Genomic DNA, 13747 nt, shown 5'->3' with positions numbered 1-13747 from the left:
ATCACAAAAAGGCAATTTAAGAAATGGTTTTTGGCCGGGTGCGGTGGCTCACGCCTGTAATCCCAGCACTTTGGGAGGCTGAGGTGGCCGGATCACTTGAAGTCAGGAGTTTGAGACCAGCCTGGCCAACATGGTGAAGCACCGTCTCTACTAAAAATACAAAAATCGCCAGGTGTGGTGGCATGTGCCTGTAATCCCAGCTACTCGGGAGGCTGAGGCAGAAGAATCGGCTTGAACCAGGGAGGCAGAGGTTGCAGTGAGCCGAGATCGCGCCACTGCACTCCAGCCTGGGTGACAGAGCAAGACTCTGTCTCAAAACAAAACAAAACAACAACAACAATAACAACAACAAAAGAAATGGTTTTTATCTTTCATCTGATTTTTGTATTCTGCATTATTGCTTCTCTGGGACTCAAGTAAAGAATATTTGCAGTAGTTTAGACAGTTCTAAGTTAATGCTACATGAAACTGTTAGAATCTCATCTTCATCTCTCAGTCCCTTAAATCCAATTTCAAAAGATAAAAATTTGCTTTTATTCAGAGTATTCAAAGGATGTGATCTAGACTCTAAAGTGCTAGTCTGTTTCTTAAAAATGATTTTATGTGGCTGGGCACAGTGGCTCACGCCTGTAATCTCAGCACTTTGGGAGGCCAAGGCGGGTGGATCACGAGGTCAGGAGTTCGAGACTAGCTTAGCCAACATGGTAAAACCCTGTCTCTGCTAAAAGTAAAAAAATTAGCCGGGTGTGGCAGCACGCGCCTGTAATCCGAGCTACTTGGGAGCCTGAGGCAGGAGAATCGTTGGAACCCAGGAGGCGGAGGTTGCTGTAAGCTGAGATTTCGACACTGCACTCCAGCCTGGGCAACAGAGCAAGATCCCATCTCAAAAAAAAAATTATGTTCACACCTTATGTATTTTATTTAGAAAGTATTTTAGCTATAACAAATTATACAATTGAGATTAATTTATACGTACACTTTTTAGAATTATACATTCAGGATTTAAACTTCAACCACATGGGTATGGTTTAGTACTATGATGTTTTAAATATAGAAAACTGTGATTTTAAATTCTGAGGTAATTTTGTGAAAAACTCACTGTATTTTACATGAATTTTGATTGTATTCTCTGTTTTTTTTGTTTTTTTTTTACAGTGGGACTCAACTGGGAGGTCTTATTACAGTACTGTGCTTCTTTTTCAACCATGGAGAGGTTTGTTTTCTAGAAAGCAATTTTTAAGAAATAGAAGAGGCTGTAGAGGAACAAGGAAATATACTCATCAAAACAATATTTAATTGTATACTACTTATGACTTCACAATATTTTAAAGACCCTTGTGTAATAAGTTGATATTTTAAGCATGTTGATTGAAATGTTTAAATAGCTAGAATTTCAAACATGAAATCTCTTGCCTTATTTTTAGTAAATATATACATATACATATATTCTGTAGAGAAAAGGAAATATTGTACTTGTTGAGTTGAATCATATCATGCACATTATCTGATTTATTCCCACTAAACTTTTTTTGTGGGTGGTGGTAGCCTCACCATACAAGTTATGAAATTTAAATTTAGAGAAAGTTAAGTTACTTATCCACATTCCACATTTACTACATGATGAAGCTGGATTTCCCATTCTATATCTGTCTGCCTCTAAAACCTCACATATATATTAATTTATATTTTATAAATTATAAAATTATAGTTATATTTTATAAAAACTTATATATTATATATATATAACATATATATTCAACTTTTTATTGTGGTCAGAATAAGTAACATATGATCTGCCCTCTTAACAGATTTTTAAGTATACAATATAGTATTAACACAATGTTGTATAGCAGATCTCCAGAACTTATTCATCTTGCCTAACTGAAACTTTGTATACATTGCACTCCCCTTAACAACAATGAAAGAGGCCTCAGGCCTGACAGCAGGGACACAGTTAAGACACTGCCACCTGCTCCCTCACTTCTTTCTGTTACATCATGCTGTCTGTTCAGTAATGCAAAATGCTCAATTCAAAATAGACATTAACTTACTAATTCAGCCCAATGAAACATAGTCCACCTAAAAAAGAGCTCATAGAAGCTTATTTCAAATATGATGGATTCATTCAACAAATTATTGAGTACATACCATGTCCATGCTCTGCTAGATGCTGAGGATATGGCATTGAAAAAGAGAGAGATTCTGACTACTAGCTCTTGGGAGCAATACATTTAATATGTTATGTCACAGGTTACATAGGGTAGAAGTACTTTTTTTTTTTTTTCAAGATAGAGTCTTGCTTTGTCACCCAGGCTGGAGTGCAGTGGCGTGATCTCAGCTCACTGCAACCTCTGTCTCCCAGGTTCAAGCAATTCTCCTGCCTCAGCCTCCTGAGTAGCTGGCATTACAGGCATGTGCCACCATGCTCAGCTAAATTTTTGTATTTTTAGTAGAGATGGAGTTTCACCATGTTGGCCAGGCTGGTCTCGAACTCCTGACCTCATGATCCACCCACCTTGGCCTCCCAAAATACTGGGGATTACAGGCGTGAGCCACCATGCCAAGCCAGGGTAGAAGTACTTTTATCCATTGCTCTTGGGTTAATTTTTAAAAATCAATTAGATAAAGGAATCATAAAAATTATACATAAAATCCTTATATATATTATTTTAAAGCAAACAAATGCATTGTCATTCAACAATGTGCTGACATAAAGACAAAGGCTTTTCTCTGAGTGTTCCAGACAACTGTTGGTATAAGTTGACTTTCTTATATGTATCATAATTCCTCTTCCAACATTTACAATTTTGGTATCTTGGAAGAGAAGCAATAACTTTTAAGACTCTTGCAAAGTAATAAGAGTTCACATTCTTTCTAGAATTTCAGAATTTTTGATGGAAAATTTTTCCAATACTCTGACCCATATGTCTTAGAAGTAATTTTAAAGTTCGTATGAAAATTTAATACCTTTATTACTTGCATCACATTTGTAGTTCCCAAATACTTCTAGTTGTTTTTAAAATATATACTTAACCTTTTTTTACGGTACATTTTACAAATTCTGAGGCAATCCTAGCTATTCGAAGTGTGTATTTATATTCATTCCTACTTGTTATGTAGAAACTCTCTTGGTGCTTGCAAATGACCTAGGTGACATTTGTTTAGCTATTTGTCTTGGCATGCATATATCCCAAAGCCTGGGATGCCAGGATCATATGCCAGGATCATACTGCAGGGCTGGGCTGTGGATCTAGTTGGTCAGTTCCAGAATTTTCACAACTCTTATACGTACAATCTTGTTTGTCCCTTGGGTTTCCTTTTGCTCGGTCTGATATATCTGTTGCTGGTTTCTGGACATGGTAGTTAATTGCTGTCTACATAATGGCCTCATGAGTTAAGAGAGCTTCAAAAACTGAGAAGCTATGCCAGACACTCAGAAATGGGATCTAGTGAGCCTAGTATTAAAATTACTAAAACAAACTCACCCCTGGTTTTTTAATATGTTTGTTGTAGTAAATAGGATGTAAAGTGGGCATTTTGTTGATTTCAGGCCACCCGTGTGATGTGGACACCACCTCTCCGTGAAAGTTTTTCCTATCCTTTCCTTGTACTTCAGATGTGTATTTTAACTTTGATTCTCAGGTAACTTCGATTTATAAAACGAAGGCAAATAAATTATAATTTAAGTTTCTTAAAATATACTTCAATTCAGCACTTTGGGAAGCTGAGGTGGGTGGATCACTTGAGGTCAGGAGTTCGAGACCAGCCTGGCCAACATGGTGAAACCACATCTCTACTAAAATACAAAAATTAGCCGGGCATGGTGGTGTGCATCTGTCATCCCAGCTACTTGGGAGGCTGAGGCAGGAGAATTGCTTGAACCCAGGAGGTGGAGGTTGCAGTGAGCCGAGATTGTGCCACTGCACTCCAGCCTGGGCAAGAGAGCAAGACTCCCTCTAAAAAAATGTAAATATATATATTACATATATACACTTCAATCTATGAAGTTGTAATTACCAAATTTAGACCATTTTTTAGTTATTTTAAAAGTAAATTGAGTATAGAGTTAAGAAAATAATTCAAAATTGCTATGTAAAAATTGCTCTCCATTTAAGAGTGTAGGCTACAGGTTTTAGATAACTACATTATGTTTTAATAAACCAAAAGGTATGCGTTTGTATATAGTTTGCCAAGATTCAAAAGTTTTTGAGAAACAATTACATTTTCTCTTCACAGTTTAAGTACTCTGACATTGTTTTCTAACCTGTGGTTTTGATAACTGTGCCATGAAAAAAGTGTTCTGTGTGCAAATGAATTTGGGAAATGCGGAGTTAGATGGATAAGGAGTATATATATTCACATATTTATGAAGCATTTCTGAACAACCAATGTTTCTAACAGGACAACCAGTTTCATTTCAAACTTTTTTTTTTGGATACACTTTTTTTGTAGGGATTACATTTATAAGCATTTTAGATATTTAAGAGGTCTGAGAAATGAACAAAAAACCCCATAAGTGGTAGAATAGTATAAATAACCTTATCAGAGAAATAAGTTTGATAGAATACTAATGAGAACTCTCACTGAATGAAATAATGATCACTATCTCCTCCAAACTCCCAGAGGACCCCATTCTTCACCTACTAGTCCCTGGGAGATTCTGCCTTATATAAAAGTCATTTGTTTGTCTTCCTTATTTTTTAAAACAGTAAATTTATGAATCGTCTACACATACACAAATTTTTATTTATTTATTTAGAGATGAGGTCTTGCTCTGTCACCCAGGCTGGAGTGCAGTGGCACGATCGGCTCACTGCAACCTCTGCTTCCCGGGTTCAAGCGATTCTCCTGCCTCAGCCTCCCAAGTAGCTGGGATTACAGGTGCACGCCACCATCCCCAGCTAATTTTTGTATTTTTAGTAGAGGCAGGGTTTTACCATGTTGGCCAGGCTAGTCTCGAACTCCTGACCTCAAGTGATCTGCCTGCTTCAGCCTCCCAAAGTGCTGGGATTACAGGTGTGAGCCACTGTGCCCGGCCAATTATATGTATTTAAAAGTACCACTGGAAACAGGGACCATGCCATATTTATCTCTTTAACCACAGAACACTGCACACGTCCATGCAAATATTTGTGGCACTCAGATAAAGCTAATTGAAGAGTGGTAAATAGTAGTGTACTGGGGTGGCACAAACCTTGAGAATGGAGCAGGCTAACTTCTGATTTCTTACCAACCTGACAAGTATATTCTGCGGTTGAATTTGGATTTAGGAACCTCCTCCTCATTCAGATTTCTATATCTTTGCTCTACACTTTGCCTTCTCTCAAAGATTAGGTGATGGAAGCTGCCCATTCTTCATCACCCCTTGCTATTCATTCCCAGTTTAATTCCTAGGAAGGTGGGTTATTTTTATTTTTTGAAGTGATATCAGTCTGGTCAGTCAGGGGTTTCATGGAATAAAATGTCTTAATTAGAACATTTAGGGTTGTATCATTGAGGGCATGTGCTATACTCTGTGTCTTAGTCAAAAGTAATTTTTGTTTGAAAAATATAAGATTACAAAGTACATAATGAGTATTTTATGATAATATTAGTAAACAATATGAACATTTAGAATTTTGTTTTTGAAAATTTATATACGATTGTACAAAGATTCATCAAAATCCAATACAGAATTTATAAAAGGAAGAGTTGCAGTTTTACTATTTATGTAAAATGTTTGTGTTTCTTTTTTCATATCTAAAAGTTACTGTAATTCTCTGTGGTAAAAGGTATTGGTTCCCAATACATCTCAGTAATGCAGAATGGACAATTTAAACTTCCACATGCTTCAGCTGAATTCTAGAATGATTTTTTAATTTTTTAAGATTCCTTCTCCTTAAATTTTTCCCATAGTTTTTAACTTATTACTTTGTCAGCACTTATATTTCTCTTCAAAGTTTTTTGAAGCACAAAAGTTGTGGCATATAAAAGTTGTTGCTACACATACAGGAGAAGCATGTTGAGGTGTGCAGGGGCAGTGCTGCATCCTATTTTCTGACCTCCTTGCTGGAGTAATAAATTTCTAATGTCATGCATATGTAGAGGAAAAAGAGCTTTTGTATTTAAAATATTTAATGGTAAATTACAATGTTAATATTAAAACTCTAATTTTGATTGCTTCATGCAAGGAATGAAGTATTTCAAGTTCTTTTTAGTATACTTTAAGAAGTTAACTATATTTTGTTGTATTATAGTAAAGGTAATGGAATAATGTAGATTTTATCATTTTGCAATTAGTCTTTCTTTTCAGTGACAGCCCATTTTTAGGGTGAAACTTACTGGTATCAATTCTCTCTATTAAGGACCTCAAGCAATGATAGAAGGCCCTTCATTGCACTCTGTCTTTCCAATGTTGCTTTTATGCTTCCCTGGCAATTTGCTCAGTTTATACTTTTTACACAGGTAAGATGATTTTTTAAATTAATTTTTATTTTTATTTTAAGTTCTGGGGTACATGTGCGGGATGTACAGGTTTGTTATGTAGGTAAATGTATGCCATGGTGGTTTTTGCATCTATCAACCCATCACCTAGGTATTAAGCCCAGCATGCATTAGCTGTTTTTCCTAATGTTTTCCCCACCCCATCCCTTGACAGGCCCCAGTGTGTGTTGTTCCTCTCCCTGTGTCCATGTATTCTCATTGTTCAGCTCCCACTTATAAGTGAGAACATGTGGTGTTTGGTTTTCTGTTCCTGTTGCTGAGGATAATGGCCTCCAGCTCCATTCATGTCCCTGCAAAGGACCTGATCTTGTTCCTTTTTATGGCTGCATAGTATTCCGTGGTGTATATGTACCACATTTTCTTTATCCAGTCTATCACTGATGGGCATTTGGGTTAATTCCATGTCTTTGCTATTGTGAATAGTGCTGCAATGAAGACATGGGTGCACGTGTCTTTGTAATAGAATGATTTATATTCCTTTGCGTATATTAATTAAGTTGAACGCAAGATGTACTTGGTTGTTTCCATATAAATTTTTAAATATGGTTACATTTACGCCCTAAAAGATTTTCAAAATAGGGAATAAAGTTTACTTAAAGGTATGATTTTTATGAAATAATATAATTCCACATTCTTTTACTGTATTGGTTAGTTTGACAGATTTTAAGGCTCGGCATGTGAAAGACTTTTTGTATTATTTTTATTCACAAATGTTATTTTTGGTGTTTGAGATAATATCTGTATATATCTACCTATAGATTTTCCTTTTGTCCTGGGAATCATTCTGGGTGCCAAGCTACACAGCATGCCAAGGGCCAATCCTGCTCTTCACAGCAGGACGTTCTGCTTCTAATTCAGCTGAATGTTGGCTGTTTTGTCTGTATAGCAGAATTTTACCTGGAACCATTTCTGTGAGCTTTAATCATAAAGCTCATCATTGCTTAAGTGAGCTGAGCCCATATCCTGTTTCTAAAGCAACTACATAACTAGTAACAAGAAACTGAACTGGGGAAGCAGAGAGTAAATGGAGAATTTTGATGACATTTCATGATACTAAGATTTTCCATCAGAGCTCCTTCCTACATAACAAATGCTGATGATAATAATAATATTCTATATTGGAAGTGAGAAATTCTGCCAAGAAGTCTCATGCTGCCAATAGCCTACAAAGAATGAAATTATAACCCCAGCTCAATTGGTGCTGCATGTTTAAAGTATTCCGTCTGTTTAACTTCATAAAAGTTGGCCCCTTTCAGGTTATAACACAGACATTATTCTATGGTTTTCATTATTTGCACATGCCAACAGAGTAGAATAGATTTTTAATGAGCATCATTTCATTGCAAGCAAATTTATTAATCCAGTGATACTGATGAAACTAAGAAGCTCTTTGGGGCCGGGTGTGATGGCTCACGCCTGTACTCCCAGAACTTTGGGAGGCTGAGGCGGGTGGATCACTTGAGGTCAGGAGTTCAAGACCAGCCTGGCCAAGATGGTGAAACCCCATCTCTACTAAAAATACAAAAAAATTAGCTGAGCATGGTGGTGGGCTCCTGTAATCTTGGGAGGCTGAGGCAGAGAATTGCTTGAACCCAGGAGGTGGAGGTTGTAGTGAGCCGAGATTGCACTACTGCACTCCAGCCTGGGTGACAGAGTGAGACTCAGTTTCAAAAAAAAAAAAAGAAGTTTGATATTGCTGTTAATGTTTTTCTAGTCATTCTCTGGATATATACTAGGCTTTCATTTTTCTTTACTAATGTATATAGTTTTGTTTGTATGTGTGTGTTTCATGCTTACAGAGGGATAATTCAATGTTATTTTCTGGAAGTACTTTAAGATTTTATTCTTAATTGTGTTTTTCGTAGATTAAGGTTAAAATTAGTTAATTGTGCAACCACATCTGGCTAATTTTTAATTTTTTGTAGCGATGAGGTGTCACCATCTTGCCCAGGCTGCTCTTGAACTCCTGGGCTCAAGCAGTTCTCCTATCTTGGCCTCCCAAAATGCTGGGATTATAGGCGTGAGCCACCATGCCTGGCCCAATTTTTTTTTTATGACTTCTGTGCTCTCCTGGAATTTTCAATCCTATCAGTTATTTCCTTGAACATTTGAAGCATAGTTTAAAGATATATCTGATTATGCCAGAGAAGTGTTTGAGTGATCTCCAAGCTAAGAATAATTTTTATATATTTAGAGGGTTATAGAACAAAAATAGAAAAAGAATATACAAGAGACTGTATGTGACCAACAAAGCATAACATATTTATTATCTGGCCTTTTATATAACAAATGTGCTGATCCCTGATCTAAATCTTTTGTGGATCTATTTCTATCATGTTAGTGATAGTGTCTTATCTCCATCTATGTTGGGTTATTTTTGATGTGGTGCTGGACATCATACATGAAAAATTGGAGAGGCGAGTAAAAAGCACTGATAAATCTTGAACCACCTTTATGCAATCAGATTGAGATGATCCGTAGATGGGTTTCAGTCTTTCTGAGGGCTGCTTGATTTCTGGTTCACTATTATAGTATGGCCTTTTGAAACTCCAAACTAAAGCACCCTTCTTGGTGCACTCTGCTGAATCTGCTGAAATGCCTGCTCAGCTTGTTGGTCTTCCAACTGCCTCTCAGCTGGAAGGCATCTGCCTCTGTTGAAATTGGCAGATACCTCTGGGAGAAAAGTGGCCTAAAATGTCATGCTCATCGGTATAGATTGCCATCCATCTTTTTAATTCTGCATTTGCTTTGTTAATAGTCTGTGGCTTTTATACGTATTTAAAAAATATTTTTATTTATATATTTATATTTTTCCTAGCCATTCTAGTTCTTAGTGGGAAGGTTGGTTCAAATTCCTTTGCTTACCATTATTAGAACTGTAGCCCTCCTCTTATATTTACTTTGCCTGTGAATAGTAAAGTGTTAGTTTTCTATACTTTTTTTCACTTTTGCTTTTTTATATTATTTCAGATAGCATCATTATTTCCCATGTATGTTGTGGGATACATTGAACCAAGCAAATTTCAGAAGATCATTTATATGAACATGGTAACATTTTTAATATATATAAGTCAAATATTAAGATAGGTTCTCAGAGTTTATAAAATCGAAGTGATTCTGTTTTATACGGTACCTCCTCTTTGGTAATATTTAATACATATGGTATTGGTGATATCCAGAAGGAAAACTGGAAATGTATATTATAGATGACATATTATAACAGATTATACTTTCAACTGGACTGTAGATGTGTTTTATTCTCTAGAACTTTTATTTTTGTTTTACTTATTATTATTACTACTTTTAAAACTGCCTTTTCTTTCTCAGACATGAGATTTTTAGCATTTTGCCTGAATATGACACTCTAACTGAAATTTTATATTCTTGCAATTTTGTTTTTGGCTTAGGTCCCAAACATAGCTTCCTTAAAAACATAAAAAGTTAGTAAAGCTTCATAAATAATAGAAGTCCTGAAGTCTAACAAAAATATGATTAGTAAAACTGGTATTTATAACTAAGTCTTTCTTATTATATTACTCCATTGTTAAAACAATAGAAATCATAGACTTATTTTTCATTGTTCCAAGTAGCAGATGGAGAAAAAGTTAAATTCTGCCAGATAGAGTTTATGGTCTTGAATTTTAATACTTAGAATCTAGCAGTGACTTGAAATTCTGTTATCATTTGGCCAAGAGTCATTCATCTTTATGCAAATAAATTTGCATTAGAAATGGCTATATACCTACAAAATATGCATTATGCCAATATATGTAATAACCATAAAATGTATTTTTTTCATTTTTTTCAGATTTCAGTTACCCTTAGTTTCATTTTGATGTTTGGAAATTCAATGTACTTATCTTCTTATTATTCTTCATCTTTGTTAATGACGTGGGTAAGTGTTTAGTTCATAAAGTTGGTTTTTTTTAACCTGCCAAATAGCATGTTTTCCTGTCTAAAACAGGTATAAGAGAATAAATAGGCCCTTTCCTGATTATCACTCAACATGACAAAATTCTTCCCAAGCAAAGCTTTTTATCTGTCTTATCCTTGAAAAATACTATAGTAGGAAGTTTTTCTTTTTAAGACAGTGCCCAAGTAAATATTTAAAAATGATCATAAAGTAATAAGACTTACTTTAATCATATCCCATTTTATGATAAAAATGACTTCTTTTCTCCTAAGTCACTTGAGGAGGTTAAGTACTCATTGCAGTGACACTGCCATTGCCCAGAACATTTTTGGAACTCCTCTGAGTTTCCTTCACAGACTATGGCACATTCTTTAGTATGTCTTGCCTTTCAAGAGTGGATTTGATTTTTGGAAATGACCAAAATTTTGTGAATATTTTGTGTGATTGGGCTGGGTAATACAGATCTTGCTCAAACGATGGTGTGACAGTAAAGTCATAAGACCGATTATTTTGCACCTATAACTAAATTATTTCTGAAGGCAGTTTAGAAAGTGTAGTTCCAAACTACTTTGAGTGATGGCAAGATAATTAGAATAAGTGTGCAGTCTCCTCACGGGAACTACATGGAATGACACTCTTTTGGATATGTGTTTGGAAGGGTGGTTTAGTAAATCAGTTCTATTACATTGTAGTTATACTTCTGATATCTATAAGCCAGAACCTAGAATATTCTCCTGTACCTCCCATCTCCACACTGATCAGAAATGATACCAACTACGGTAATGCCAAAATATAGCACTTTTCCATGTATGGTGCAGTGATTTAATCTTTTGGGATTGCCCTTATGTTTTAACATTTTTGCTTTCCGTATCCTTCTTCCCTCATAGTAATCCCTCCTCTTTCTCTCCCAGAAAAAATGCTCTTTCTTTCCAACATTTTGTCAAACTATTTCACCATTACAGAGTAGAGGACTCCTAATAGTGTGCTCATCTACCTCTTTTAATGAAAACTTTTTTATTTTGAAATATAGTACAGATAAAACTGCATAAAGCAAATGTTTTGTGTGCTGACTTAGTGCTGGCTAATACTGATGAGTACAATGTCCCCTTCGTGTCTGCAGGGATTGATTCCAGGACACCCCCAACCCCTGTGGATACTAAAATCTGCAGATGTTCAAGTTTCTTATATAAAATGGTGTGTTATTTGCATATAATCTATGTACATCTTCCTATATACTTTAAATCATCTCTAGGTTACTTATAACGTCTAATGCAATATAAATACTATGCAAATAGTTGTATACTGTATTGTTTTTTCATTTGTACTTTTTAAACTGTTGTATTATTATTATTTCAAATATTTTCTATCTGCTGTTGGTTGAATCTGCAGCAACTGGAACCCATGGATGTGGAGGGCTGACTGTGTTATGTATTATGTGGCAAACATTCTTAAACTACCATTATATCAAAATTATAACTCTCTAAATGAGTGTAGAAGCCTCCATGTGACCTGTCCCAAAGCACTCCCTTGTACTGCCCTAAAACGATAATGACTATCTTGACTGCTATGATAGTAACTTTCCAGCATTCCTTTATAGTTTCATCACTTAAGTTTCTCTTTTTAGCTACAAGTTTCCTGCATATCTGCCTGGTTTTATCCTCATGAAATTTATTTGTTGAAGAACCACAGTCATAGAACATGTGGAGGATTTCATGGTCCAGATTTTGCTTTTTGAGTTCCTGTGGTGTAGCTAAGCATGTTCCTTTGTCTCATGGTATAGCTTGATATATTAGAAATTGGATCTGAAACTTGGATTGCTTCAGGCTTGATCACTTTTGCAAGTCTTTAGTATTGTTCTTTCATTAAAAGGCACATAATGTCTCTCTTTATGGTACTAGCCTTCAGTGCCTTATGCTGGCTCTGTTAATTCATTAGGGATTGCAAAGTGGTCACATTCTAATCTGTCATCTAAAGTTCATTTAGGAGAAGTAAAGTAAATGTTGATTTACCTCTTTATTTGCAAGTTTTAAAAATAATGAATTGATTCCCTGTCATCTTCCAAATGTAGGCTCTTTGGGCTGTGTATATGTGTGTTTAGGTTTCATTAGGAACATAGGGATTTAAACATTTTTTATGTATTTCAAGTTAATTGAAATTAACATCTTTACTCATTCTCAGATTGTTTCTTTGTTGACCAGGGGAGCCTCTTTAGGTTTCTACTAAGTTCTCTGACATGACACTCGTGGTCTGATAGCATACTTGTGTCATGTATGACAAGTTTTTCCAGGTCTCTCTTGTGTACTCCTGCCCAAAACCTGGAGGAAGCCATTCCTGCAAGGCACCCTCGTTGCCTTTACTGGGGAAATGGTGTTTTAAGACCGCAGTCTGGGACCCAAGGATGCTCATTGATACTGAGTAGGTCATTGTTTCTAGGCCTTATTAGTGGGCAGAGCTAGGAAATATTATAGGTTGCAGGCTCTCTTTCTTTAAAAATCTACCATGAAAATATGTGTGTGTGCATGCATTTATGGTAAACTAGCTCACAAGTTCTGATGGGTATTTCCAAATCAAATTCAAGAATGTAGGGTTTTTACTTAACTCTTTCTATCCTGTATTTGCTTTTGTTTCTTGTGGGTCTCAAGAAGCCAGGGGATGATAGAATATCATATATCCATTTGCCTTCTCCCAAAGTGTGTGCATGAGAATTGCTATACTGCACCACGCACATGATTATGAGAAATAAAGAATTTTTTGCATATCCTTCTTTCATTCTCTTCACCCATTTTATTTTTTTTACTAATTCTGTATCTATATTGTCAGAACAGAGTATTGCATACTGTACTTTCTGCCTTATCAACCTTATTTCATGTTTTTATGTGAAGAAATATGCATTTATTTATCACCAGTCTTTATGTCGTTATCTCCCAGTTATCTTGGTTATTTTAGTCTTGTTCTACAAGAGAATTCCTTCAATTCTGATGTGTTTGTCAGTTTGTTTTGTCACCTTTTACTTGAAAGTGAAGTTGGCTCTATGTAAAATTCTTGTCTCTTTTATTTTTACTTTTTCTTTCTTTTCTTCTTTTTTTTTTTTTTTTGAGACGGAGTTTCGCTCTTGTTGCCCAGGCTGGAGTGCAATGGTGCAGTCTTGGCTCACTGCAACCTCCAACTCCTGGGTTCAAGAGATTCTCTTGCCTCAGCCTCCCATGTAGCTGGGATTACAGGCGCCTGCCACCACGTCCAGCTAATTTTTGTATTTTTAGTAGAGACGGGGTGTCACCATGTTGGCCAGGCTGGTCTCAAACTCCTGACCTCAGGTGATCTGCCTGCCTCTGCCTCCCAAGTGCTGGGATT

General features: G+C 35.9%; 1 protein-coding gene across 26 annotated transcripts in view; it reads left to right on the top strand.

Annotated features, from left to right (window-relative positions):
- Positions 1-13747, top strand: part of DPY19L2 (dpy-19 like 2) — a 109893-nt gene that overhangs the window by 41124 nt on the left and 55022 nt on the right. For 20 of the 26 annotated variants that reach the window (XM_047428722.1, XM_011538215.3, XM_024448947.2 and 17 more), the window contains 5 exons: positions 1156-1213; positions 3551-3642; positions 6345-6444; positions 9454-9531; positions 10292-10378. In XM_047428722.1, coding sequence (XP_047284678.1) covers positions 1156-1213; positions 3551-3642; positions 6345-6444; positions 9454-9531; positions 10292-10378 — 415 coding nt within the window. Of the gene's footprint in view, positions 1-1155; positions 1214-3550; positions 3643-5039; positions 5399-6344; positions 6445-9453; positions 9532-10291; positions 10379-11516; positions 11591-13747 lie in introns of those variants that run through there. The other 6 variants (XM_024448955.2, XM_024448954.2, XM_047428727.1 and 3 more) reach the window with 4 other exon arrangements.

The sequence above is a fragment of the Homo sapiens genome, chromosome 12 (genome assembly GCF_000001405.40).
Source record: "Homo sapiens chromosome 12, GRCh38.p14 Primary Assembly".
Classification (NCBI taxonomy): Eukaryota; Metazoa; Chordata; class Mammalia; order Primates; family Hominidae; genus Homo; species Homo sapiens.
Note: the sequence above shows the minus strand (reverse complement) of the source record. Positions and strands in the feature narration are given on the sequence as shown.